This window comes from Homo sapiens, chromosome 2 (genome assembly GCF_000001405.40).
Source record: "Homo sapiens chromosome 2, GRCh38.p14 Primary Assembly".
In the NCBI taxonomy this organism is placed as follows: Eukaryota; Metazoa; Chordata; class Mammalia; order Primates; family Hominidae; genus Homo; species Homo sapiens.
In genome coordinates this window covers 79,269,925-79,295,120 of record NC_000002.12, presented here as the reverse complement: position 1 = coordinate 79,295,120, position 25,196 = coordinate 79,269,925, and the positions used below count along the sequence as shown (strand labels likewise).

Here is a 25,196-nt window from a genome sequence, read left to right as displayed (position 1 = left end):
AGAATAGTCAAAAAATAAAGCACAGTGAATATTCTGAATAGCCATGTAGCAATTTGCATGAAACCTGAAGATGAGCATACACAAATACACACACGCATACACAAATACACACACACACACACACATGAACTCACACACAAGTGCAATTGTGTTTGTAGGCATCTGTTCATCAAGACATTGTATACAATAGCAAATCAGTAGATAATATATCCATCAGCAGATAAGATCAAAATCAGTAGATAATATGTCAATCAGCAGATAAGATAATGACACAATAGATAATAAATTACAGAATAGTCACACATAGAATTATGATATTATATACTAGCTAAAGTGATCTAGTCTTACCTTTAGTGAAATGGATAATTATTCAGAACATATGGCTGAGTAAAAAATACAGGTTTCAAAACAATAAGAAAAGATAAAATGAAATATTATGCAAAATTCAAATAAGTTACTGAGTTTATTCCTTCTGATAATCTATAAAATAGACACCACTTATATTTTAACCCAAAGTCTCTATTTGGTATCTTGTTAGTACCATGTGAAAAAGGGTTAAGATAGGAGGTTGATGGTTTGGGGAAGAGAGAACAGATTTTGAATACTTGCTATGTTTCTGAAGCTGTGCTAGATACTTGGTATGGACTAAATTGTGTCCCACTCCACGTTCACATGTCAAATCCCTAAACCCCAATATGGCTGTATTTGCAGATAGGACTTAAGGTAATTATGGTTAGATAAAGTCACAAGGGTGGGGACCTGATATGATAGGATTAATATCTTCATAAGAATAGATACCAGAGAGAGCTAGCACCCTCTCTCTCTCTTTCTCCTTGAATTTGTCTCCTCCTCCAACTTCTCCTCCTCCTCCTCCTCCTCCTCTTCTTCTTCTTCTTCTTCTTCTTCCTCTTCTTCTTCTCTCTCTCTCTCTCTTTCTCTCTCTCTCTCTGTCTGCCATGCGAGGACACAGAAAGAAAGTGGCCATCTATAAGCCAGAAAGAGAGTTGGCACCTTAATCTTGGACTTCCCAGTCTTCAGGACTATGAGAGAGAAATTTACATTGCTTAAGCCACCCCATGTGCAGAGCTTTGTTATGGCAGACCAAGCGGACTAAGACAGTACTTTCCATACTTTATTTCATTCCATTCTACAAACAACTCTGAAAATAATATATTATTATTCTCGTTTTATAGATGAGGCCATCCTGCTGTATCTAAGATAAAGATTGACAGACTTATCCGAGGTCACATTGCTAATAAAGATTGAAGGTGAATTATTTGTATTTCATAGCACATTATAATTACTAATTTGAGCAAATTCTTACTTTTATTTTATTTTCTGTTTACCCTCATACTCATTCCTGTTTCTCCCTATTCAAAGACACCCACACTAATGTGTTTGTTGTAAGGGATCAAACACATGTCCTTGAAAAATAGTGTTATTTTGTATGTGTATTTTAATTTACATGAATGGCCTTATGTTAATTCTATTAGCTTTTGACCTACCCTCAGCTGATGGCAATTTCCTCAGCAAAGTCTCTTCCAACATTTCCATCCTCTATGCCTTTAAATTGCTTTATAGACTCCTTATTGTCTATGTACTTATTTGATTTGCACTATATTTGCCTTATATTGCTTTTCCTTTTAGCCAAACTGTAAGCTTCTAGGGGAGAGGGACTGTAGTATGATTTTCTGAGCACCAAACTGTTTTTCTCATATTTCTTAATGCATTCATATTAAATAAATGAATGAAAACACCCACAGAAACTAAGCAGCCAGTTTATGTTTCCAAATTTTTTCAACTGCAACATTTCTCATCCTGAATGAGAAATTGGCCCACATACCTCATGAAAACATTTATATTCTGCACATCTTCTAGGTAAAATCCAAAATGTGGCTCAATACTGCAAAACCATTGATGTCATCGATGGCCACCTGCATGCAAATAGATGTCTTAAAAAAGGAGGTCAGCTCTGAGAGCTCACTCAAGAAAGACCCACCAGATTTTGACTAGTGAGGGAATACTGCCAAGTGGCCTAGGGGAAAGCTTTTGGGGATGAATCAAAGGAAAGTTGAAGTAGAAAGAGATGAAAATGTGACAAAGAGATAAAGCAGGTAGGTGGTGACATATGGGTGGCTGCAGAATGCAGGCAATATTGTGGACCTTAACATTCTACCACTTTATGAGTGAAAACAAAGGTGATTGAACTAGAAGATTCTGACTAGAAGCCAGTGTTCAGCCCAGTGTGATACTGACCAGACAAGGGCATTGTCCCCACTCAGAAATGCTCCAAAAGAACTAAGGAGAAGGATTAGAGGAGACAAAATGTTTTTGCTAAATTCTTGCACTGAAGCCAGAGTTGCTCAGGAAATAACAGCTCAGTTTGTTAGCTCTGATCTCTAATTCCATCCCAAATTCATAACGTTATTTTTTTTGTTTGTTTCCATTGTTCATTTGTTGTGTGCCTCTTAGGATGTCCCTTTCCATCTGGGCCTCAATGACCTTCCCTGGGAAATGGGGTACTTGTACTTAACCATACCCCTGCTTCTAAAGACAAACTGGGAAAATTAAATGGAAATTCTAAAAGAAAGCTTCATCTTTTAGTTCCTTAGAGAACTAGCATTACAGTTGATTACCTAGGTGATGATTCAAGCTATTCAACCCTTGTCATTCTGAATGTACTTCTCTTCCAGCTTGCCTTGGAAAGAAAATCAGCCAGTTAAAGAAAGCATCAGCTGGAACTCTCTCAGCTCTCAGTGACTGCAGAGTGAACTATGGCATTCAGCATAGAAAATGTTCTTCCAGTGCTCCAATAAATAGCATTCAGTTTTTAGCCCCAGGGAATTCAGTGTAGCCCTGGTTACTCCTCACTGCCACAGCCAACACTGCTTCCTTGGGTAGGAGAAATGATTTATGGAGGTGAGCAGCCATTCCAAACTTTAATTAAGCACGTAAAGAACCATCAATTTTTTAAAGGGCACCAACCCAGAAAGATGAGAGCTGAACTCCTGTAGAACATAATTACCTTTCCAACATTTTATCTGATCTCCTTGTTTTACTTCTCTAAGATGAGCTGAACAACAGCCAATCAACCACCCCCACAGGTGAGCTCTACCCCCCAAAAGCCCTGGGTATCTGAAGTATTGCTCCAGGGGCTTGCAAACATCCCCCTCAATCCCGTTACTAATAACTCTGTCTCTCTGTTTCTTGTCTTTGCAATACAATATCTTGGCTGCCATGGCAATAGAAACCATGGAAATGCACAGGTAAATAATTTTCTTTCTGAATATGTATGTAATAAATAAAAATAAATACAACTGACACATGAACCAGCCAGATCCTCCCTAGTGTCCAAGTCACTGCCATGGGAGGAGACTATTCACAAATAATGTAGCCAAAGCACTTGATAAATTAGTAAATCTTTTTGGGTATTCACTTCCTTAGGAGAAAGGTTGAAATTAGGGACAAAAGACAGGGACCAGTAGCCACACATCTGAGTAAATGGGAGCTTATTAAGTTTGAGGGCACAAGTTGTTCACACTCTGTAATGGGAAATACTTTCTTCAACTTATGGCTCCTGGGAGGAAATGAAAGAAAGGAAGAACAGGGGAAGTGGATGCCTGGCAATTTGGGGTCCAAATACCAAATAAGTAATGATTATCTGTTATACCTCAGCAGGATAGGCCCAGGTGTGAGGAAGGAGATAAGAAATAATTTTATATGTCAGAAGATGGAAGAATTCCTGGATATATCATCTCTACATTTTTTCTTCTGGATATGTCTGAGACTGACATACACCTGACAGTCTCCTGGGATAGTCTCATTTGTTATGACAGCTGTACTTTGCTTTAAAATACTTTAGCATAGACAAAATAAGATAATGCAAATTTCAGTTACCTTAAGATTTAATTTTCTAGCCAGTCATTGCTTTAATCAAGAATTCATGGTTTAAGGGTGGTTACTTGTGTCATAGTGAAAGGAGAAAAGTTCCCTTATCCCCCTCACAGAGTGTGTGACAGAGGGAGTGGCTGGTGTCTTCAGTGCCCCACTGCTCAAACCTCTTGGGGGAGCATGCAGACAGGCAGGTCGTGGGGTTCTGACCCCATGGCAGCATCTAGGGGTGAATGTTTACAGCCTCTGAAGCCCCAGTGGGCGTGTATTACAGGGTGCTCTTTTAGTTTTGCTGTCTGTAGGCAGCTTGCGTTAGTCAGCGCAATTAGACCCCCTGCCTTATCACAAGGACAGAGGGCTTTCTGTATCCTGAGGTTTCTTGCCTTGGTGTACCAGAAGATTTGGATCACACATGGGCTTGGAGAATAAGTGCAAGGTTTTATTGAGTGGAAAAAGCCCTCAGCAGATGGGGAAGCCGGAAGGGAGATGGAGTGGGAAGATGGTTTCTCCCTGGAGTCGGGACTCCCCAGTCAAACTCCATGTCGTTCCTCCGGTTGATGGCCTGCCGGCCTGCTGGTGCCTGTTGGTGTACTCTTAAACTAGTGCATTCCTCTCGATGTCCAGCCGCTTGTGTGTTCTTCTGCTGGTGTGTTCCTCTCGACGATGAGTCACTTGTGTCTCTGTTTGCTAGGGTCTTGGGGTTTTTATAGGCACACGACGGGGGCATGGTGGGCCAGGGTGGTCTTGGGAAATGCAACATTTGGGCACAAAGGCAGGAGTGCCCGTCCTCACCTAGGTCCGTGGGCACAGGGCCGGAGGTGGAGCCCTAGGCAGGGACCACTCCGTTTCCTTCCCAGCACTTCCCTGCCCCGCTCCCGTATCAGTATCAAAAAGGACCACACTCCAGGGCAGTTGCTCCAGGGGCTTCTGTGCTCTGTATTTGATCAGTAACCAATGCTCTATTAATCAACATACCCAATGTTAGGGGTTTTAACAGTGATAAATGGTACTAGTTGACCAGTCCAATGAATGTTAAACATAGATTTTTTTGGTTTGATACTTAAAAGACTCTATGTTCAGGGCCTGGATTATAGTAACACAAATTAAGAGCCTACGGTGTAAACTTTAAGGAGTCTCTCACTCTTAGGGTCATGCAAATGCACAGTGGGCACCTGAGTATGTAGCCCCCTAACTGTTTCTCACTTGCACATAGCATCTCAATTGTTATAAACCTCTGAAATAGGTATGACATCTCCCTATATCACAGAAAAGGAAATATAGGCACAGAGAGGCTGATTATCTGGGCCAAAGTTCTCCAGCTAGTAAGCAATGCAATCAGAATTTATGGAGTTAAGCTCTAGAGCCCTCACTCCTAAGTATTATATTGGATGTAATGTCATACTGTCACCCTTGGTAAACAGGAACATTAAGGAGTTAAACAGAGAACTTGGTTGCTGCATTCTTTTCTTTTCTATTTCTTTTTTTGAGATGGAGTCTTGCTGTATTGCCTAGGCTGGAATGCAGTGGCGCAATCTCAGCTCACTGCAATCTCTGGCTCCTGGGTTCCTGCAGTTCTCCTGCCTCAGCCTCCTGAGTAGCTGGGATTACAGGCGCACATCACTACGCCTGGCTAATTTTTGTATTTTTAGTAGAGACAGGATTTCGCATGTTGGTCAGGCTGGTCTCGACCAACACCCGCCTCGGCCTCCCAAAGTGCTGGGATTACAGGCGTGAGCCACCACGCCTGGCCTGGTTGCTGAATTCTAACCAACCCGACTCATTAGCCCACCACTCGTCACATGTATCCATGGGAAACTGGAAAGTGAATATAATTTCCATTTTTATTAACAAACACTCACATCTTTTGTTGTCTTCATCATTAAATCTATATTTACCTATGAAAATTATTCTAGCTGCTCACAGAAACAAAACAAAACAAAACAACCCCCAAAGAAAAAAAACTAACATCCTTGCTTTCCCTGGCTCTGTCAGATATCATCCTCTTCACCTCAGCTGTGTGAGACTGAGGAGGTGGAATCTATAGTCCACCCTCTCGAATCACAAAGACAATAATGACAAATCACTGAGAGGCAAAGGCCCAATTTGGAAGAAAATAGATTCTCTCAGACTTGTAGATATTAGACTCTGTCCTTGGAAAATGTGATTTGGTTCACATACCCTAAAATTCTATTATGAAACAAACAAAAAGCAATCAAATTGTATCTTGACATGTCAGACATAATGCCTATAGTAGAAAAAAAGTGACTATCAAATAAGTGACTTGTTTTCTTTTTTCTGTTTCAATTTTGAGAAAATGTATCAGTTGATGTTCAATTTTCTCATTCTTATGATGTGTCTCATTAAAGAAGATCACACATTGTTTGAAAGTTCCCCCACTGAAAGTCAGTATCTATTCTTCACTCTTTTAATATGGCAAACCCTGTGATTGTTTTGACAAATAGAATACATTAGAAGTATTACTGAGCCAACTTCTGGGCCCAGGTGTAAGAGACTGGCAACCTCTAATTTCTCTCCCTTAGAAAAACAGCAGTTGGAACTCCAAAGCCACCATGGTATGAGGAAGCTTAAGCTAGCCACATGGAAAGACCATGTGGAGAGAGAGAAAGAAGAGAGAGAAAAACAAAGAGAGAGGGAGAGAGAGAGAAATAGCCATTCATCCCAGAAGCCAGATGCCAGGAATGTGAGAGTAGAAACTACTTGGATGTCCAACTCAGTCAAATCTTCCAGTAGCTTCAGCTACAGCAGTTACCTGAATTCCATCAATGAGAGACTCCAAGCGAAGATTACCAAGCTGAGCACACAGTGAACCCACAGACCCATGATGGATTCCAATACATTTTAGTTTTATTCACTAAGTTTTCAGGTAGTTTACTATGCAGAGATGGATAACTCAAACAGATGGTAAATTCAGAAAAGACCAAAAAGATAAAAGTATAAGGAGGAGCCAAGATGGCCGAATAGGAACAGCTCTGGTCTATAGCTCCCAGCGTGAGTGACGCAGAAGATGGGTGATTTCTGCATTTCCATGTGAGGTACCGGGTTCATCTCACTAGGGAGTGCCAGACAGTGGGCACAGGTCAGTGGGTGCGCGCACCATGCGCGAGGTGAAGCAGGGCGAGGCATTGCCTCACTTGGCAAGCGCAAGGGGTCAGGGAGTTCCCTTTCCTAGTCAAAGAAAGGGGTGACAGACGGCACCTGGAAAATCGGGTCACTCCCACCTGATACTGCGCTTTTCCGACCGGCTTAAAAAACAGCGCATCAGGAGATTATATCCCGCACCTGGCTCAGAGGGTCCGACGCCCGTGGAGTCTCACTGACTGCTAGCACAGCAGTCTGAGATCAAACTGCAAGGTGGCAGCGAGGCTGGGGGAGGGGCGCCCGCCATTGCCCAGGCTTGCTTAGGTAAACAAAGCAGCCGGGAAGCTGGAACTGGGTGGAGCCCACCACAGCTCAAGGAGGCCTGCTTGCCTCTGTAGGCTCCACCTCTGGGGGCAGGGCACAGACAAACAAAAAGACAGCAGTAACCTCTGCAGACTTAAATGTCCCTGTCTGACAGCTTTGAAGAGAGCAGTGGTTCTCCCAGCATGCAGCAGGAGATCTGAGAATGGGCAGACTGCCTCCTCAAGTGGGTCCCTGACCCCTGAGCAGCCTAACTGGGAGGCACCCCCCAGCAGGGGCAGACTGACACCTCACACGGCCGGGTACTCCAATAGACCTGCAGCTGAGGGTCCTGTCTGTTTGAAGGAAAACTAACAAACAGAAAGGACATCCACACCAAAAACCCATCTGTACATCACCATCGTCAAAGACCAAAAGTAGATAAAACCACAAAGATGGGGAAAAAACAGAGCAGAAAAACTGGAAACTCTAAAAAGCAGAGCGACTCTCCTCCTCCAAAGGAACGCAGTTCCTCACCAGCAACGGAACAAAGCTGGACGGAGAATGACTTTGACGAGCTGAGAGAAGAAGGCTTCAGATGATCAAATTACTCCGAGCTACGGGAGGACATTCAAACCAAAGCAAAGAAGTTGAAAACTTTGAAAAAAATTTAGAAGAATGTATAACTAGAATAACCAATACAGAGAAGTGCTTAAAGGAGCTGATGGAGCTGAAAACCAAGGCTCGAGAACTACGTGAAGAATGCAGAAGTCTCAGGAGCTGATGCGATCAACTGGAAGAAAGGGTATCAGCGATGGAAGATGAAATGAATGAAATGAAGCAAGAAGGGAAGTTTAGAGAAAAAAAGAATAAAAAGAAATGAGCAAAGCCTCCAAGAAATATGGGACTATGTGAAAAGACCAAATCTATGTCTGATTGGTGTACCTGAAAGTGACGGAGAGAATGGAACCAAGTTGGAAAATACTCTGCAGGATATTATCCAGGAGAACTTCCCCAATCTAGCAAGGCAGGCCAACATTCAGATTCAGGAAATACAGAGAACGCCACAAAGATACTCCTCGAGAAGAGCAACTCCAAGACACATAATTGTCAGATTCACCAAAGTTGAAATGAAGGAAAAAAATGTTAAGGGCGGCCAGAGAGAAAGGTCGGGATACCCTCAAAGGGAAGCCCATTAGACTAACAGCAGATCTCTCGGCAGAAACTCTACAAGCCAGAAGAGAGTGGGGGCCAATATTCAACATTCTTAAAGAAAAGAATTTTCAACCCAGAATTTCATATCCAGCCAAACTAAGCTTCATAAGTGAAGGAGAAATAAAATACTTTACAGACAAGCAAATGCTGAGAGATTTTGTCACCACCAGGCCTGCCCTAAAAGAGCTCCTGAAGGAAGCACTAAACATGGAAAGGAACAACTGGTACCAGCCGCTGCAAAATCATGCCAAAATATAAAGACCATCAAGACTAGGAAGAAACCGCATGAACTAACGAGCAAAATAACCAGCTAACATCATAATGACAGATCAAATTCACACATAACAATATTAACTTTAAATGTAAATGGACTAAATGCTCCAATTAAAAGACACAGACTGGCAAATTGGATAAAGAGTCAAGACCCATCAGTGTGCTGTATCCAGGAAACCCATCTCACATGCAGAGACACACACAGGCTCAAAATAAAAGGATGGAGGAAGATCTACCAAGCAAATGGAAAACAAAAAAAGGCAGGGGTTGCAATCCTAGTCTCTGATAAAACAGACTTTAAACCAACAAAGATCAAAAGAGACAAAGAAGGCCATTACATAATGGTAAAGGGATGAATTCAACAAGAAGAGCTAACTATCCTAAATATATATGCACCCAATACAGGAGCACCCAGATTCATAATGCAAGTCCTGAGTGACCTACAAAGAGACTTAGACTCCCACACATTAATAATGGGAGACTTTAACACCCCACTGTCAACATTAGACAGATCAACGAGACAGAAAGTTAACAAGGATACCCAGGAATTGAACTCAGCTCTGCACCAAGTGGACCTAATAGACATCTACAGAACTCTCCACCCCAAATCAACAGAATATACATTTTTTTCAGCACCACACCACACCTATTCCAAAATTGACCACATACTTGGAAGTAAAGCTCTCCTCAGCAAATGTAAAAGAACAGAAATTATAACAAACTATCTCTCAGACCACAGTGCAATCAAACTAGAACTCAGGATTAAGAATCTCACTCAAAACCGCTCAACTACATGGAAACTGAACAACCTGCTCCTGAATGACTACTGGGTACATAACGAAATGAAGGCAGAAATAAAGATGTTCTTTGAAACCAACGTGAACAAAGACACAACATACCAGAATCTCTGGGACGCATTCAAAGCAGTGTGTAGAGGGAAATTTATAGCACTAAATGCCCACAAGAGAAAGCAGGAAAGATCCAAAATTGACACCCTAACATCACAATTAAAGGAACTAGAAAAGCAAGAGCAAACACATTCAAAAGCTAGCAGAAGACAAGAAATAACTAAAATCAGAGCAGAACTGAAGGAAATAGAGACACAAAAAACCCTTCAAAAAATTAATGAATCCAGGAGCTGGTTTTTTGAAAGGATCAACAAAATTGATAGACCGCTAGCAAGACTAATAAAGAAAAAAAGAATCAAATAGACACAATAAAAAATGATAAAGGGGATATCACCACCGATCCCACAGAAATACAAACTACCATCAGAGAATACTACAAACACCTCTACGCAAATAAACTAGAAAATCTAGAAGAAATGGATAAATTCCTCGACACATACACTCTTCCAAGACTAAACCAGGAAGAAGTTGAATCTCTGAATAGACCAATAACAGGATCTGAAATTGTGGCAATAATCAATAGCTTACCAACCAAAAAGAGTCCAGGACCAGATGGATTCACAGCCGAATTCTACCAGAGGTACAAGGAGGAACTGGTACCATTCCTTCTGAAACTATTCCAATCAATAGAAAAAGAGGGAATCCTCCCTAACTCATTTGATGAGGCCAGCATCATCCGGATACCAAGGCCAGGCAGAGACACAACCAAAAAAGAGAATTTTAGACCAATATCCTTGATGAACATTGATGCAAAAATCCTCAATAAAATACTGGCAAAATGAATCCAGCAGCACATCAAAAAGCTTATCCACCATGATCAAGTGGGCTTCATCCCTGGGATGCAAGGCTGGTTCAATATATGCAAATCAATAAATGTAATCCAGCATATAAACAGAGCCGAAGACAAAAACCACATGATTATCTCAATAGATGCAGAAAAAGCCTTTGACAAAATTCAACAACCCTTCATGCTAAAAACTCTCAATAAAGTAGGTATTGATGGGACATATTTCAAAATAATAAGAGCTATCTATGACAAACCCACAGCCAATATCATACTGAATGGGCAAAAACTGGAAGCATTCCCTTTGAAAACTGGCACAAGACAGGGATGCCCTCTCTCACCACTCCTATTCAACATAGTGTTGGAAGTTCTGGCCAGGGCAATTAGGCAGGAGAAGGAAATAAAGGGTATTCAATTAGGAAAAGAGGAAGTCAAATTGTCCCTGTTTGCAGACGACATGATTGTATATCTAGAAAACCCCATTGTCTCAGCCCAAAATCTCCTTAAGCTGATAAGCAACTTCAGCAAAGTCTCAGGATACAAAATCAATGTACAAAAATCACAAGCATTCTTATACACCAACAACAGACAAACAGAGAGCCAAATCATGAGTGAACTCCCATTCACAATTGCTTCAAAGAGAATAAAATACCTAGGAATCCAACTTACAAAGGATGTGAAGGACCTCTTCAAGGAGAACTACAAACCACTGCTCAAGGAAATAAAAGAGGATACAAACAAATGGAAGAACATTCCATGCTCATGGGTAGGAAGAATCAATATCGTGAAAATGGCCATACTGCCCAAGGTAATTTACTGATTCAATGCCATCCCCATCAAGCTACCAATGCCTTTCTTCACAGAATTGGAAAAAACTACTTTAAAGTTCATATGGAACCAAAAAAGAGCCCGCATCGCCAAGTCAATCCTAAGCCAAAAGAACAAAGCTGGAGGCATCACACTACCTGACTTCAAACTATACTACAAGGCTACAGTAACCAAAACAGCATGGTACTGGTACCAAAACAGAGATATAGATCAATGGAGCAGAACAGAGCCCTCAGAAATAACGCCGCATATCTACAACTATCTGATCTTTGACAAACCTGAGAAAAACAAGCAATAGGGAAAGGATTCCCTATTTAATAAATGGTGCTGGGAAAACTGGCTAGCCATATGTAGAAAGCTGAAACTGGATCCCTTCCTTACACCTTATACAAAAATCAATTCAAGATGGATTAAAGACTTAAACGTTAGACCTAAAACCATAAAAACCCTAGAAGAAAACCTAGGCATTACCATTCAGGACATAGGCATGGGCAAGGACTTCATGTCCAAAACACCAAAAGCAATGGCAACAAAAGACAAAATTGACAAATGGGATCTAATTCAACTAAAGAGCTTCTGCACAGCAAAAGAAACTACCATCAGAGTGAACAGGCAACCTACAAAATGGGAGAAAATTTTCACAACCTACTCATCTGACAAAGGGCTAATATCCAGAATCTACAATGAACTCAAACAAATTTACTAGATAGAAACAAACAACCCCATCAAAAAGTGGGCAAAGGACATCAACAGACACTTCTCAAAAGAAGACATTTATGCAGCCAAAAAACACATGAAAAAATGCTCATCATCACTGGCCATCAGAGAAATGCAAATCAAAACCACAATGAGATACCATCTCACACCAGTTAGAATGGCAATCATTAAAAAGTCAGGAAACAACAGGTGCTGGAGAGGATGTGGAGAAATAGGAACACTTTTACACTGTTGGTGGGCCTGTAAACTAGTTCAACCATTGTGGAAGTCAGTGTGGTGATTCCTCAGGGATCTAGAACTAGAAATACCATTTGACCCAGCCATCCCATTACTGTGTATATACCCGAAGGACTATAAATCATGCTGCTATAAAGACACATGCACACGTATGTTTATTGCGGCACTATTCGCAATAGCAAAGACTTGGAACCAACCCAAATGTCCAACAATGATAGACTGGATTAAGAAAATGTGGCACATATACACCATAGAATACTATGCAGCCATAAAAAATGATGAGTTCATGTCCTTTGTAGGGACATGGATGAAATTGGAAATCATCATTCTCAGTAAACTATCGCAAGAACAAAAAACCAGACACCGCATATTCTCACTCATAGGTGGGAATTGAACAATGAGAACACGTGGACACAGGAAGGGGAACATCACACTCTGGGGACTGTTGTAGGGTGGGGGGAGCGGGGAGGGATAGCACTGGGAGATATACCTAATGCTAGATGATGAGTTAGTGGGTGCAGCGCACCAGCATGGCACATGTATACATATGTAACTAACCTGCACATTGTGCACAGGTACCCTAAAACTTAAAGTATAATAATAATAAATAAACAAATTTTAAAAAAAGATTATAAAGAAGATTATAAAGATTTAAAGAAAAAGATAAAGGTATAGTTCCACTTAATATTTCTAAGACATTTGGAAGTGGCTTAAGCTTTCTCAACCCTGTTTTTCTCATCTGAAAATTTCTAATTTTCTCATCTCAATTAAAGTAATCATGTAAAGGTATCTTGAAGATCAACCTAAAAAATTAGATGATAAACTACAAAGCACTATAAAAGATAACCATGTTATTATTCATACTTTTATTGACAGGGGACTATTATAAATTATAATTTGTAAAGCCACACATTAAGCTGGACTATTGGAAATATTCATGTAAAAATTTAGAAGCTACATAGTTGTTATTTTCTGGATATATAGCTAAGGGATATCAGCATCTCTACTCTAAAAACTAACATGCTCCTGGAATCTATGCCATAAATTGATAAATTCACAAATATAAGGCAAATATGTCTGCAATTACTTTATTATGTTTCTAGAAAATGCTAATCCTGGTATCAATAAACAAAAATGCTGATGAAGTGTGTGCTGTTGTCTTTGGTAGTTTCAGAAAGTTCACTTGTCAAATACTGAAACTGTGAAATGCACAGGCAAAAGCAAGGAGAAGTCAAGTATAGGTGTTCTTTGGTGATGTCAAACACTACAGCAAAACATTACTAAGAGGGACTGCTTATGCAATAATCACAGATGACTTCAGAGTAGTACTCACAGTTGAAAAAGCAGTTCTTTGTTGCTTTATTTGATTTCCACGTCAGTTGGGGTTATTTAATCACAAGCAACTCTGGATAAGGAAGGCCAAAAAATAATTTGTTTTGAGTATATAGGTCAGCTCAGAGAAAGGAAGAAAAACTGAGCAAATGGAGCCGTTAAAGGGGAGGAATCAGTGCTCTCTGAGGATCTGTGGGTAGGAATGAGTGACCAGTATCTTTAGATCACCACCATGGGGACCAGCTTCTTGTCTTGCGTCATCTGATCAAGATGCAGATTTCCAGATCAGAGAGTCTGATTAATGCTTTGCTTTGCAGGCCACCCTTGGACCATGACATACAGGGCATCTGACTGATAGTCCCACCAAGACTGCCTATGATCATGTAAGGATGGTTCTTGGTTTAGTTCCTGTTTCCCAGAAGCATATCTTGAGATGAGGATGTGTGTGCTAATGATGCTTTAGCTGGTGAAGCCCCATAAGGATGTGGGGGGTAGGACAGCAAAGAGGGGGAATGTGAACCAGGAGCAGGAACTCAGGAAAAGTTATGCTGAATATAGCTTCAGCCTGATCCTGCAGGGGAGATGTAGAGTGCAAACAGAGCTTCAAAGTGATCCCATCAGGCTTTCTAGTATGATACGGGTGTGTCATTGGTTCTGGCCTTTTCCTGGGCAAAGGAGTCAGGGTAGCCTGTAAATCCTCAGGCACCCAGGCACTTTCCTTTCTTCAGGTGTGCAGTCACAGCATGTTCTAGCCAACCAAGGGTGGTCCTCCAGAAAGAGCTGCACAAGGGTGGATGGCAAAGAACACATCCAAAGAGATCTGGGAGCTATAGGTCTCTCTCTCTCTCTCTTTCTCTCTCTCTCTCTCTCTCTTTCTCTTACACACACACACACACACACACACACACACACAGCATACAGGATGAATGCTGGGCAACTAAAAGCAGTAAATATTCCTGTGGGATTACAGTCTTTGTTACCCCAGTTTTTAAGCCCAAAGAGGTTGAGTATCTTATCACTGGTCTAGTGGAGGAACCAGGACCCCCTGCTCCGGGGATATTTTTTCCATCATACCCTACAACTGGTTTGGCTGTTTTGTGTATTTAATTTCTGTTTGCTTGCTTGCAGAAATGTCCAGCTGTTTGGGCAGACAGCAGTCAAGGCTGTGCTGTGGTGCAGGCATGTATAGAAGCTTCCCAAACTCCATCCCCCTCACATGTTTTTAGGCTTCCACACTGCAAAGATAAAAATAGAGTCCAGGGAAGGATTCAAGGAGCTGCTTTTTAGGGTGGAGGCATAGATCTGCCCAGGAGAAACAGATAATTATGGGTATATAAGAGGAAAAAGATGTGCTATTCTTTTTCCCTTCTGGAATTATGCAATGGTGAACCTCCGTATCCCTTGACAAATTGACGGTAGGACGGAAGAAGAATTTTGGAAGGGGTGAATGTTAGTGTCCTGTAGACCACAATTTCAAATGACCATTTTAATGTAGAAAACAAAGACATGCAAATAAGTTTGCGAAATATTAACACCAAATTCTTAGTAAGGTTGAATACATTTTCAGGATAGAGAGCAAAAGGGAGAATAATAACCTTGAGATTTCCATGGCCCAATAAGGTGAGGATAAAACTTCATTGACATTCAAGAGAATGTTCTGGGGAGATGGGCTAACAGGACAATGCTTAGGGAATGAACAAAACAGAATATCCTAGACTAATGGAAAGGTTCTATTTTGTTCTTCCCATAATTCCTACACATTTGGAAGTGTCAAGAAGAGGAATTGCATATGAGCTGTGGCTTCAAGCTCCCAAAATGTGCCCCATGGTCTTACCAAACTTTACTTATATACCACAAAATCAAAAAAGCAGTCATTTTGTTTAGACAGACTCAATGCATTCTGTCTAATTTTCCTTTAAAGATGTCTTTGGTTATACATAATTGCCAAAGGGAAGATCTTTTTCCTAGTGTCAACCACCAAAACTTTTCTGTTGTGGTCATGGAGGTGGCAGCTCATTTGTTACATCCTGTGCCTTTGTGTCAGTTACAAGTAACTGGAAGTTGGGGGCATGGACGAAAACTACCTGGGGATTTTTCAGACTCACCTGCGCAGACCCCATCTAATTTACTTTGGAGGAGGAAGATATGAATATTGAGAATTATCCTCAGGCATTTATGGTGAATTTCCTCCCCTCATTCACTTCCAATCCCACTGGGCAACAAATTGTTATACCATCCACTCCTGCCTTCTGAACTTTGTCTTTTCTATGCGAGGGCACACAACCCCAGTTACTTAGGTCTCTCTTCAGCAGGCTACATAATAAATATTTGCAGTTAATTTCCTGAGTACCTTGGAAGGGCTGGGTTTTTATAGATCTTTTGGAAAGAAAATAAAAGCTGAAAGTAAGAGATTCAAAATTATATTATTCAAAATAATAATGCAACAAATATTGAGATTAAAGGTTCACAACAAATGCTTATGAATCCCTGTTCCATCTCTCCACATCTGATTATCTGCACATCATCTCCCATAATCACCCTGCCATATTGTCTCACCTCAGGTTGACAGCAAGAGGCTGACCAGCTGACACTTTCTATGAATTCTCTGAGGGAAGACCCATCTTCTTGTTCTCCTTTCCCAGATACATTCTCTATGCCATACTGTAGTCCTATCCTCTATTCCAGCCACAGCAGAGGACCTGGCCCTCTTTACCCTCTTCTTTTCTCTGATGTATTGCCTGATGGCTTCAACTTGGATAACCCAGTCAGTCCCTGACACTCTCCATTATTAGCTTAGAATAGGGAATTCAAGTTGGTCTAGGCAATTAGCCTGGAGGTAGAGAGAGTCCTCTCCATTAGATGGAGGTGGGGCTCTTTCTTTGATGCTTATTTTATATCTAAATAGAAAAAATTAGGATTTCACTGTGTCTCCAAACAAGTACAACGGGGACTTATACTTTTCAATTTGCATAATGTAATACATTTTCAAAATTGCCCACAATTACATTTTTTTTTCGTGGGCTTGGGGATGTCATTTTGGATTTTGAGTCACATGTAGGCCCTCTCTCTTGCTGGCCTGAAGCTATGCTTTTGCTGTCCCTACAATACAATAATGCCCCTATTACCAATACCTTTCCCTATTACCAATACCTGTCTCCAATTCTAAAATAGTGACCATGCTCGCTCCTTCTTCCCCGTCTCTCCTCATTAATACAGAAAACTAAGTTAGATTTATCTTGTGCAGTTTGGACCTGATTGGTAATTGCCAATAGTGTCCCTGGGGTTGCTACTTATGACCCATTTTGATCCTCATTCTTGCCAGTTCCTGTAAACTTTCTCTTTTCTTGGCTCATGTCTCCATCCACGCCAGCTGCTTTGCAGCCAGGGCCATACAGTGAAGTAGGAGCAAGAGCCGATGTTGTCTTGGTTCTACAGTGGCCTGAACTTTCTAGACTTCTTCTATAAAATTACCTTCCTTCATCCTCCACCACCCTTAAGTATGCTGTAGAAGGTGAATTTGTATTTCCAAACAAAACCTTACATACGGAGGTTTAAACAAATAAATCAAAGAGCAGCAGTAGCCCAGAGCAGACCATCTTAGTTGTTCCTCACTCACATTTGCAACCTCTAGAGGGCTTTGGAGCACAGTTTGAAAAATGCAGATTAGGTCAAAATGTACTTTATTTGCTAGAGCAAATAAAGTAAATTGAGTCTGTGAAAGCCCCAAACTAAATGTCTGTAGCTTAACGTAATGATGATGGTCCCATTCGCCACTTTTTCCCATTCTTAAAAGCATCATTACAGAAGAGTGTAAGTTTTGGGGTCAAACATGTAGGTTTGAATCCTGGGTCTACCTCTAGCTAACATGAATTGAGCATCTTTGAAACTCAATTTTTTAATGTGTAAAATGAGGATTATAACACCTATGTCATAGAACTTTTGTAAAAATTAAATAGCATAACATAGGCACATGGGTTGGCTCAGAGAAAGGTAGGAACCGTCAGTCTCCTTGAGAAAGCCAGCAGTGAGAGGATCCTTAGGCTTTGGGATGCTTCAGGCTGACTGCTGTCTTGCCCCCAGGCTGCATCCTGACCTCCTGCCATAATTATCATAGTAGGACTCTGTCCCTTGATGTAGGAATCACCTATGGCTGATATTGGAATTCAGCTTTTAATAAATGAGCACAATGAGGCAGAGATTCGATCAGCCGTGTGGATTCACAGAGGCAAGCCAGAAGCAGCCGTATATTCAAAAAGATAAGAAAGATAAATAGCTTTTAATAAAAAAAAGAATTTTCCACTACATACAATTTCCTTTAAGCCGCTTGACATCTCTCTGGGCTTCTGCTGTTGCAATCCTGGTGCAAGCAGAGGTGGGAGAGAGTTTAAAGTATCATCCAAGGAACTGAGGATTTAGGAGAACAAAGATCCTGCTCTTTATCTTTTGCTGAGACAGCTCCTCCATGGCTCTCTGGTCTGAGATTCAAAGATTCATTTTCACAAAAGCAAAAAACTCGGTGGATGGGTCTTACTCTAGACATGTAAAATAGCAAACACAATGTGTGTGTGCACATGTTTGCATGTGTGTGTGTGCACATCTATGCGCATGTGAACATGCAGGCTTAGATGGTAAGTGTGTGAACCTGGCTTGTGATGACCACAGTGAAGAAGTAGAAATGGAAAACCTTTCTTATCTCATGTAAACAACATTTAATTTTCATGACAAGGAAACACAGGTGGACCATAAATACAAGGGGACAATTTTTTTTAAAATAAGGGTAATCATTAAGGCAGGAGGAGAAAACGCATAGATTACAACATGAAAGGAAAAGTAGTACAAAGAAAACTTTAGAAAACCACCAAAAGATGTGAAAAGAAATAAATAAAAGTTACACAAACACCGTAATAGACTAAAAAACAAAAATAGGCAAACAAAAGGTTAAGTATGAAAGGTATTCAGGTAAATAAGATGCAGACAAAAAGAAAGCCAGGTTGGCAATATCAATATCAGACAAAATAGACTTCAGGTAACAAACATTACATCAGGCAAAATGATTTACTTTTTATTATTGAAGGGTATAATCTACAATGAAGGTAATTCTCATTTACTTTTATGTGCCCAAGGAAATTGCATTGAAATAGATCAAACAAAAGCTATTAGAAAAATAAGAAAAAGTCGACAAAACCATAACATTAGGAGGATATTTTAGCACAACTTTCAAACTTGGATAGCTCAAACAGACTAAGGGGATAGAATAATATATAAAAACAAATACATAAGCAAGAATGCAGAGGACTTATGCGTAATAATTACAAACATCAACTATTTGAAAACCAAGTTCTTACAATAACCTAGAATGCTCTTCTTAATCTGCCCTTCACTTACTTCTGTGACCTTCTTTCTTTGTATTTAACATTCTTGCATATTTGCGCCTCAGTTTATTTGCGTATTCTGTTCCCTTTTCCTGGAATAGTCTTCCCAGGTGTCTGCATATCTCATTCCCTCACCTCCTTTAGGTCTTTATCCTGCCTGACCTTCACTTTATCCCATCTAAACTGAAGTCTGCCATCCACTCTGATGCTCCCTAGCCTAATTCTATGCTCCTTTCTTCTGTAACACTGTTTAACATCTAACATTCTATGCATTTTCCTTCTTATCTTTTTTTTTGATGTCTGCCCCTCCCCTCTGAATATAAATTATCTGAGGGCAGGGATTTTTATCTAATTTGTTTACTGCTGGACTAACACAATGCCCAATGCATAGGAGGAATGCGATAAAATTATTGCTGAGTAAATAAAAGTTAATTTTATATTTCCTCAAATAAATGAATGAACATAGGCTAAACAACAAATGAAACCTTGATATAATTCAAATATTATGCTACATAGCTGCATTTTAAATAATAACATCATAATATTAAAATAATAATATCAGACAAAATAATTTTAGAGATTACTATTTTTTTCCTGAAAAAAAGATCCTTTTTTCCTGAATTTCATCTAGAACCATAGTGTAGAAAACATGAGGGGCAAGAAAATTCTAAATTGATTGGTACTACTGTGAAGATTACTTGACATCTGAGCCTGGCAGATGTGTAAGTTCACATTTTCTCTTCAGTACCTTCATGAGTTCCTAGGGGGCCCTAGTGAGGAAATTAATCTGTATTTTTTTATGATGTGTTGCATTTTTGTCTGTTTGGCCATTCCCGTATCAGTCCACCCCATCTAGATTATCTTTTCCGGGGTCTTAGTGCCCCTACCTTTGATCCTCTTGGACAAGATGTAAACTCCAGTTACCTCTTTTGGGCACAGCCTATATGCTGTCATTTTGTCTTGACACAGCTTGAAATACTAAGCTTGCAACACAACCATTTCTTCTGTGCTTATGCTTTCAGTGAACTCATCTCTGGATTTAAGACTTTGTAAGGGTTATTTCAGGAAAATAACTGAAGCCTTCCAGGTAGTCCCACTGGAGCCCCTTTCTTTCCACTTGAGGTAAAGTTAGAGGCACCTCTATCTCTTCCCTTTGGGGTGGGTTCCCAGAGCATAGCTTTGTCCAAAGAAACCATCCCATGAGCAATTTCTCAACCATATTTATCCTTGATGCGGGTGAGGGATTCAAGAGCATTTAACAGCTTTTTGACTCTGCTTGCAATTCTTAAAGAATGATCTATTTCACAATCCATTTTGGTACCTGATATCTTTCATGTTGAGCTCAGGGAAAACTGCCATTTATAAATTATCATATATTTGAAACAATATTGCATTGCTTAAATTTTTATTAAATCTATATAATAGAAAACCATGGAGTCATTAAAAGTGATGTTTTAAAAGGATCCACATAATATATGGAGAAACCTCACAATATATGGTTGAATGTTTTAAAAGTTAAGCTGAAAAGCTATGTGTATATTGTTTCATATTTTATCAAAAATAATTATACATATCATTTCAAAAAATACTTGAATGATATATAGTAAAACATTAGAGAAGTTATTTGTGAATGTTAAGATAAGAGGTTATTTATTTTGTTATTTATCTATAATGTATATGCTTTTTATAGTAGAAGAATTCCTGTGGAATAAATAAGCTAAAGATGTTTTAGTAAGCAAGAACTAAAGTTCTATTTTGTTTTAAAACAATTTTTAGAGACAAAATATAAGATAGTGGGTAAATTCTCAGACTAAAAGTCCCCACTGGCATCAAACTCAGTGTATGCCCACAGACAATTCAGTCTTTAGTTCACTTTGTAATACTAATTAAGCTAACCACTCACAAGTCTCTCCTGGCCTGTTTCCTCATCTTTAAAATAGTGAGGTTGAGTTCTTTCAAGAGAGCTGATTGAGAACATAAACCATTCCTCTTACACATCTAAAATTACATGAAATATCAGAAAATATACAGAATTCAAAATAAGAAATTCATAGCAGCATTTGAAAGCAAGCTTATAATAAGCAATCCAGAAATATTAGCAATTTCCAGAAACATAGAGAGAAGATGAAAATATTTATGCAGAGAAATAAAACAAACAAAAAAATTAGAACTGAAAATACACAAGAAAGAAGCAGTAGGAGTGGAATGCCTCCAAGGTGCTCAGATCTCAGACCACAAAGAGCGGAATCAGGGCTCAGGTCAGGTGACAAGGCATGAATTGTGAAACTACTTTCAGAGATCTGGGGCGGTCAGCCCTTTCTCCCTTAAAACCCTTTTCCCATTTAGAAAAAAAAAAAAAGTGCAGCTTGCTGTCAGCGCTCATTTAATTTTACATAAACATGCTCTTTGAGGCTGAAGCAAATCTGACTAATTTTCAATGTGAAAATAAAATATAAAAACTGTTTTTGGAGCTATTTCTAAACAGAACTAACATCAGAATTGTCTGAATCATCAGAATCATCTATTTCAGAAAACCAGAATCATCAAGTGAATCTTTGGCCAATGACTGTTTGATAATGATGTTACTATAACCCATAGGAATGCTATGTTTTCTAGGATTGGACATTTTCAGCAATCAAGAATTACTATACTTTCTAAGTGGAAATACCACTCCTTAAAACAGAATGCTATAAATAGAATGATCTCTTTGTTTCCAAAGTCAATATACTAGAGCGAGGTGAAAATAATAATGAAAGCAAGATATTTTGTGGCAAAGTTATCTCAGGCTAAATGCTGCAGCCACAGGTGCCACCAGTGAGTATTCTCAGGGCAAATGGAAAAAGGATTAATTATAATGTTTTAATTAGTTGTTCTCTGTGTTTCAGTCTTTATTTGTAAACTGGAGATGATAATAATGCCTATCTGATAGGTTGCCCTAAGGATAAAATGAGTAATATCTGTGAAGTCTCTGGAACAGTCCTGATACAAAATAAATATTATATCAGTATTATTTGTTGATACTAACTGGTTTTGAATGTTGTTGCATGGTAAAGAAATACTTTGTGCTGAGAAGCCAACATGAAACCATAAAAAAAAAGACAAGCAAATTTAGTAGAGGAACACCATGTACCTTGATATGGCACTGCTAAATCAATCCTGGAGCCACCTAACATTATACTTTTCATTAAGTTAATAACTACCACCATAATCTAAGCCAATGTTTGTCCAATTGTCTGTTCCTTGCAACAAAACATAACCTAGTTAATAAAGTAAAACAAAGAGTCTGTCTGAAATAGGGATGAGTGTAAACATATCAGTTATCTCAATAAATGTAAATGGGTTAAATTTCACTATCAAAAGTTAGGTGAAAACAAGACAAAAACAGAATTCAGCCATTGGATGAATAGAAAACACATAAAAATTACAATGAAATGATGAAAATAAATGGGTGTAATTATTGCTGTTTAAACACTTTGTTTAATAAAACAAAATTTTAAAAATCCAATTTACAGTGGCAAGGTATTATACCAAGTATTCTCAAGAATCTTTTATCTAAATTTTAATTTCCTTAAGTGTAAAGGCTGTGTCTGTCTTGGTCATTTGTTTTATGCTCCAGTCAAATATGTGACTGGCATGATGTCCAATAAGTAATATTAACAGAATATCTCTTCTTGTTCTGAAATATCTTAAGAAGACAATCTAAGCTAGGAACATTATGTGATGTACTATATCAAAATAATTATAAATTATACACCATTTTTGTTTGGTTTTTGAAGTTTTTAATTGGAAGCTAATATAAAGAGTGTTTTGTTCTGCTCTCTTTTTTTTAATCTGTTATGGGCACATAAACAGGGAATCATCAAGAATTTTCAGGAAGAGATCTGAAATCTTGGTGAAATCAAGACTGGAGTTTTCATATAATTATTAGATCATACATTGCTCCTGGCCGCCAAATGTGTTGTATTTTTAGCACAGTAGTCAGTTGTCTACCTTAAGTGATTTGAACAGATAATATCACCAACTTTATAAAAGGGGTATCGTAAGTCTTAGAAAAGCTAACAGAGGTAGAGACCTTAAAATAGGACCTAAGGCATAGTTGGCCTTCAATAATGTTAGGTATTATTATTGCTGTAAGTCACTAGAGACCAGTATGAATTTGGTTCACACTAAGGACCTCATGAAATGGGTTCAGGGCAGTTTTGATGGGAGACGAGGAAGGTTATGGCATAGAATATGATCTAGGCCGATAAGGGCTCCATGGAAAAGCTTTCAGTAATCAGGAGAAGCAAAAAAATATACCTGCTATTCACCTGGGATAGGGATGGAGCCAAAGGGTAATGGAGAGATGTTGAAATGCAGCTTGAACTACTTTACAGCCTTTCCCATGGTCATCTCTGTTAAATTCCTCTTACTGGGGAAACTTCAAGGCCTCCTGACCTGCCCTAGGGACGTAGCCTTCTTCCTCACTGTCTGTTAGCAGTAAAAGTAGAGAGGGGAACACTTCAAAGAGTCAGACTCCTGCTCAGAGCGGGAGATCTGAGAGCTGCCTCCACCCACTGGTATGATCCTCTACTCAGACAGCCAGAGATCAAAAAGACTGTCTCCAGCTGCCTGCCTCTCCATGCACACATACCAAAAAGCTAATCACATTAGCTACTTCATAAGGAATAAATTGTTATTTCCTCGCCACTCTGATTCCCCAACTTCTGTCCCTGTGCTATGGCCAGTAAACAGCTCTCTCGCTATCAGTCTTTCCAAGAATTCTGTTTTCCTTATCTGTTATGTCACAAAAGCTATTTTATCTGGGTTTAGTGACCCACGTGTGCATTACAGGGGGAAGCCACCACCTGGGAACAGTGGTTTCAGGATCTAGACATGCTTCTATCACCCATATAAAGGCCACCCCTTCTCTAGGCTCTATTATCATGATATTGCAATAAAAAACCTCCCATAGCCAAAAAAATTGAAAAGCAATTTATTACTTACTAGAAGAATCGCCAAAGGGAGAATATATTTATTATTCACAGAAAATTTTCTTAAAAGCCTCTTTCCCTTCTCATCTCTCTCACTTTCATGTCTCATAACTTTTCCAAAGTCTGACTTCTGCCTCATGCCATGGCTCCAAAGTCAGACTATACAGACTTATTTTGCTTCTCTTTCTTTTCCAGCTCAGGTTTTAAATATGCAGCCTTCTGGCATCTTCCAGTTTTCCTGTTTCCTCATTTTTTTTTAAATCCCTAGTTTACTCCTGCAGAGAAAGATGTGCCTAAAAGAGAAGCAGCACCTACCTGGAAGACTCAGGAGACAAAGAGGGAAAGGTAGGGTGAGATGGAAAACCCCCTTAATGGAACACATGTTCTTTTATTCCTTCATTCCCTCAAACCACTCTGCTGCCCTGGAGCTAGTAACAAAGAAATTAATACTTAACTAAAATGGTGAGCTATGACCTCAAGTGCATTTTTTCAGAGTGGGACACAGTGGATTATGCTCACCCTGAGGGTTATCTGAGAAGATTTCTGAGAACCTGAGAGTCTCAAATGCCTGAGAGGTGGGAGCTGCATAGAGAGGAACAGGTAATGGGTAGTAGGGGCTGTGGGAATAGGCACCCAGCCTGTGCAATTGCTGCCATGTAAGAGCAAGGTAGAAGTCAATATCAGAGTCCAGTGTGTGGCCTGAAGCAGGTGAGCTCAATTACCAAGAATTAGCAAAGCAGGGGGTTGTTAGAAACCAGATAAGAGGCCTTGGGACTGGCGTCACTCTGATGTGAGAATATCAAGGCTGACATTAGCAAGGAAGCAGATTGCACATCAGAAAAAAAAGGACCAAAAAGAGAAGAAGAGCTGCAGGCTCAGAAAGCCAGAGTATAGTGCATGGTTCCTAAGAGTTTGGCATTGACTAAATCATGGGATTCTTCTTTGTCATATATTTTTTTTACAGTTTCCTTGAGATATAGTTCACATCTCAAAATTTACCCTTTTTAAGTGACCAATTCAATGTTTTTCCTGTGAAACTAGAAATGAATCCCCAAGATTTCCTGGGCTGAGCCTAACAGGATATGAGAAGCAGAAACTTCTGGATTGTGAGAAGAAACAAAGGAAGAAGAGAGATGCTCTATAGGAGAAAAATCACAGACAATAAGTGGGGAGAGCAAGAAGACAAAGTTTTGTTACTTTAATTCACCACTCCTATCCCCAGCCACCAGTGGCCATCCTGTACTGGATTCTAAACCCAGGGCCCTAA

The 25,196-nt window shown here is 39.6% G+C and overlaps 1 protein-coding gene and 1 long non-coding RNA gene across 7 annotated transcripts in view; one reads left to right on the top strand and one right to left on the bottom strand.

Annotated features, from left to right (window-relative positions):
- The window catches only part of CTNNA2 (catenin alpha 2), a 1,463,404-nt gene that overhangs the window by 1,353,660 nt on the left and 84,548 nt on the right, over window positions 1–25,196 (bottom strand). The gene's annotated exons all lie outside the window — the stretch shown is intronic.
- Window positions 2,835–25,196, top strand: LOC105374823 (uncharacterized). 6 transcript variants are annotated; one of them, XR_001739567.2, is made up of 6 exons: window positions 2,835–2,919; window positions 3,069–3,104; window positions 3,248–3,266; window positions 13,902–13,967; window positions 24,198–24,274; window positions 24,971–25,196. It is a non-coding gene; the product is annotated as an uncharacterized LOC105374823 (long non-coding RNA). The 6 variants fall into 6 exon arrangements; XR_940281.3 differs by lacking the exon at window positions 2,835–2,919 and adding an exon at window positions 24,423–24,529 and having other exon boundaries at window positions 3,016–3,104; XR_001739568.2 differs by lacking the exon at window positions 3,248–3,266.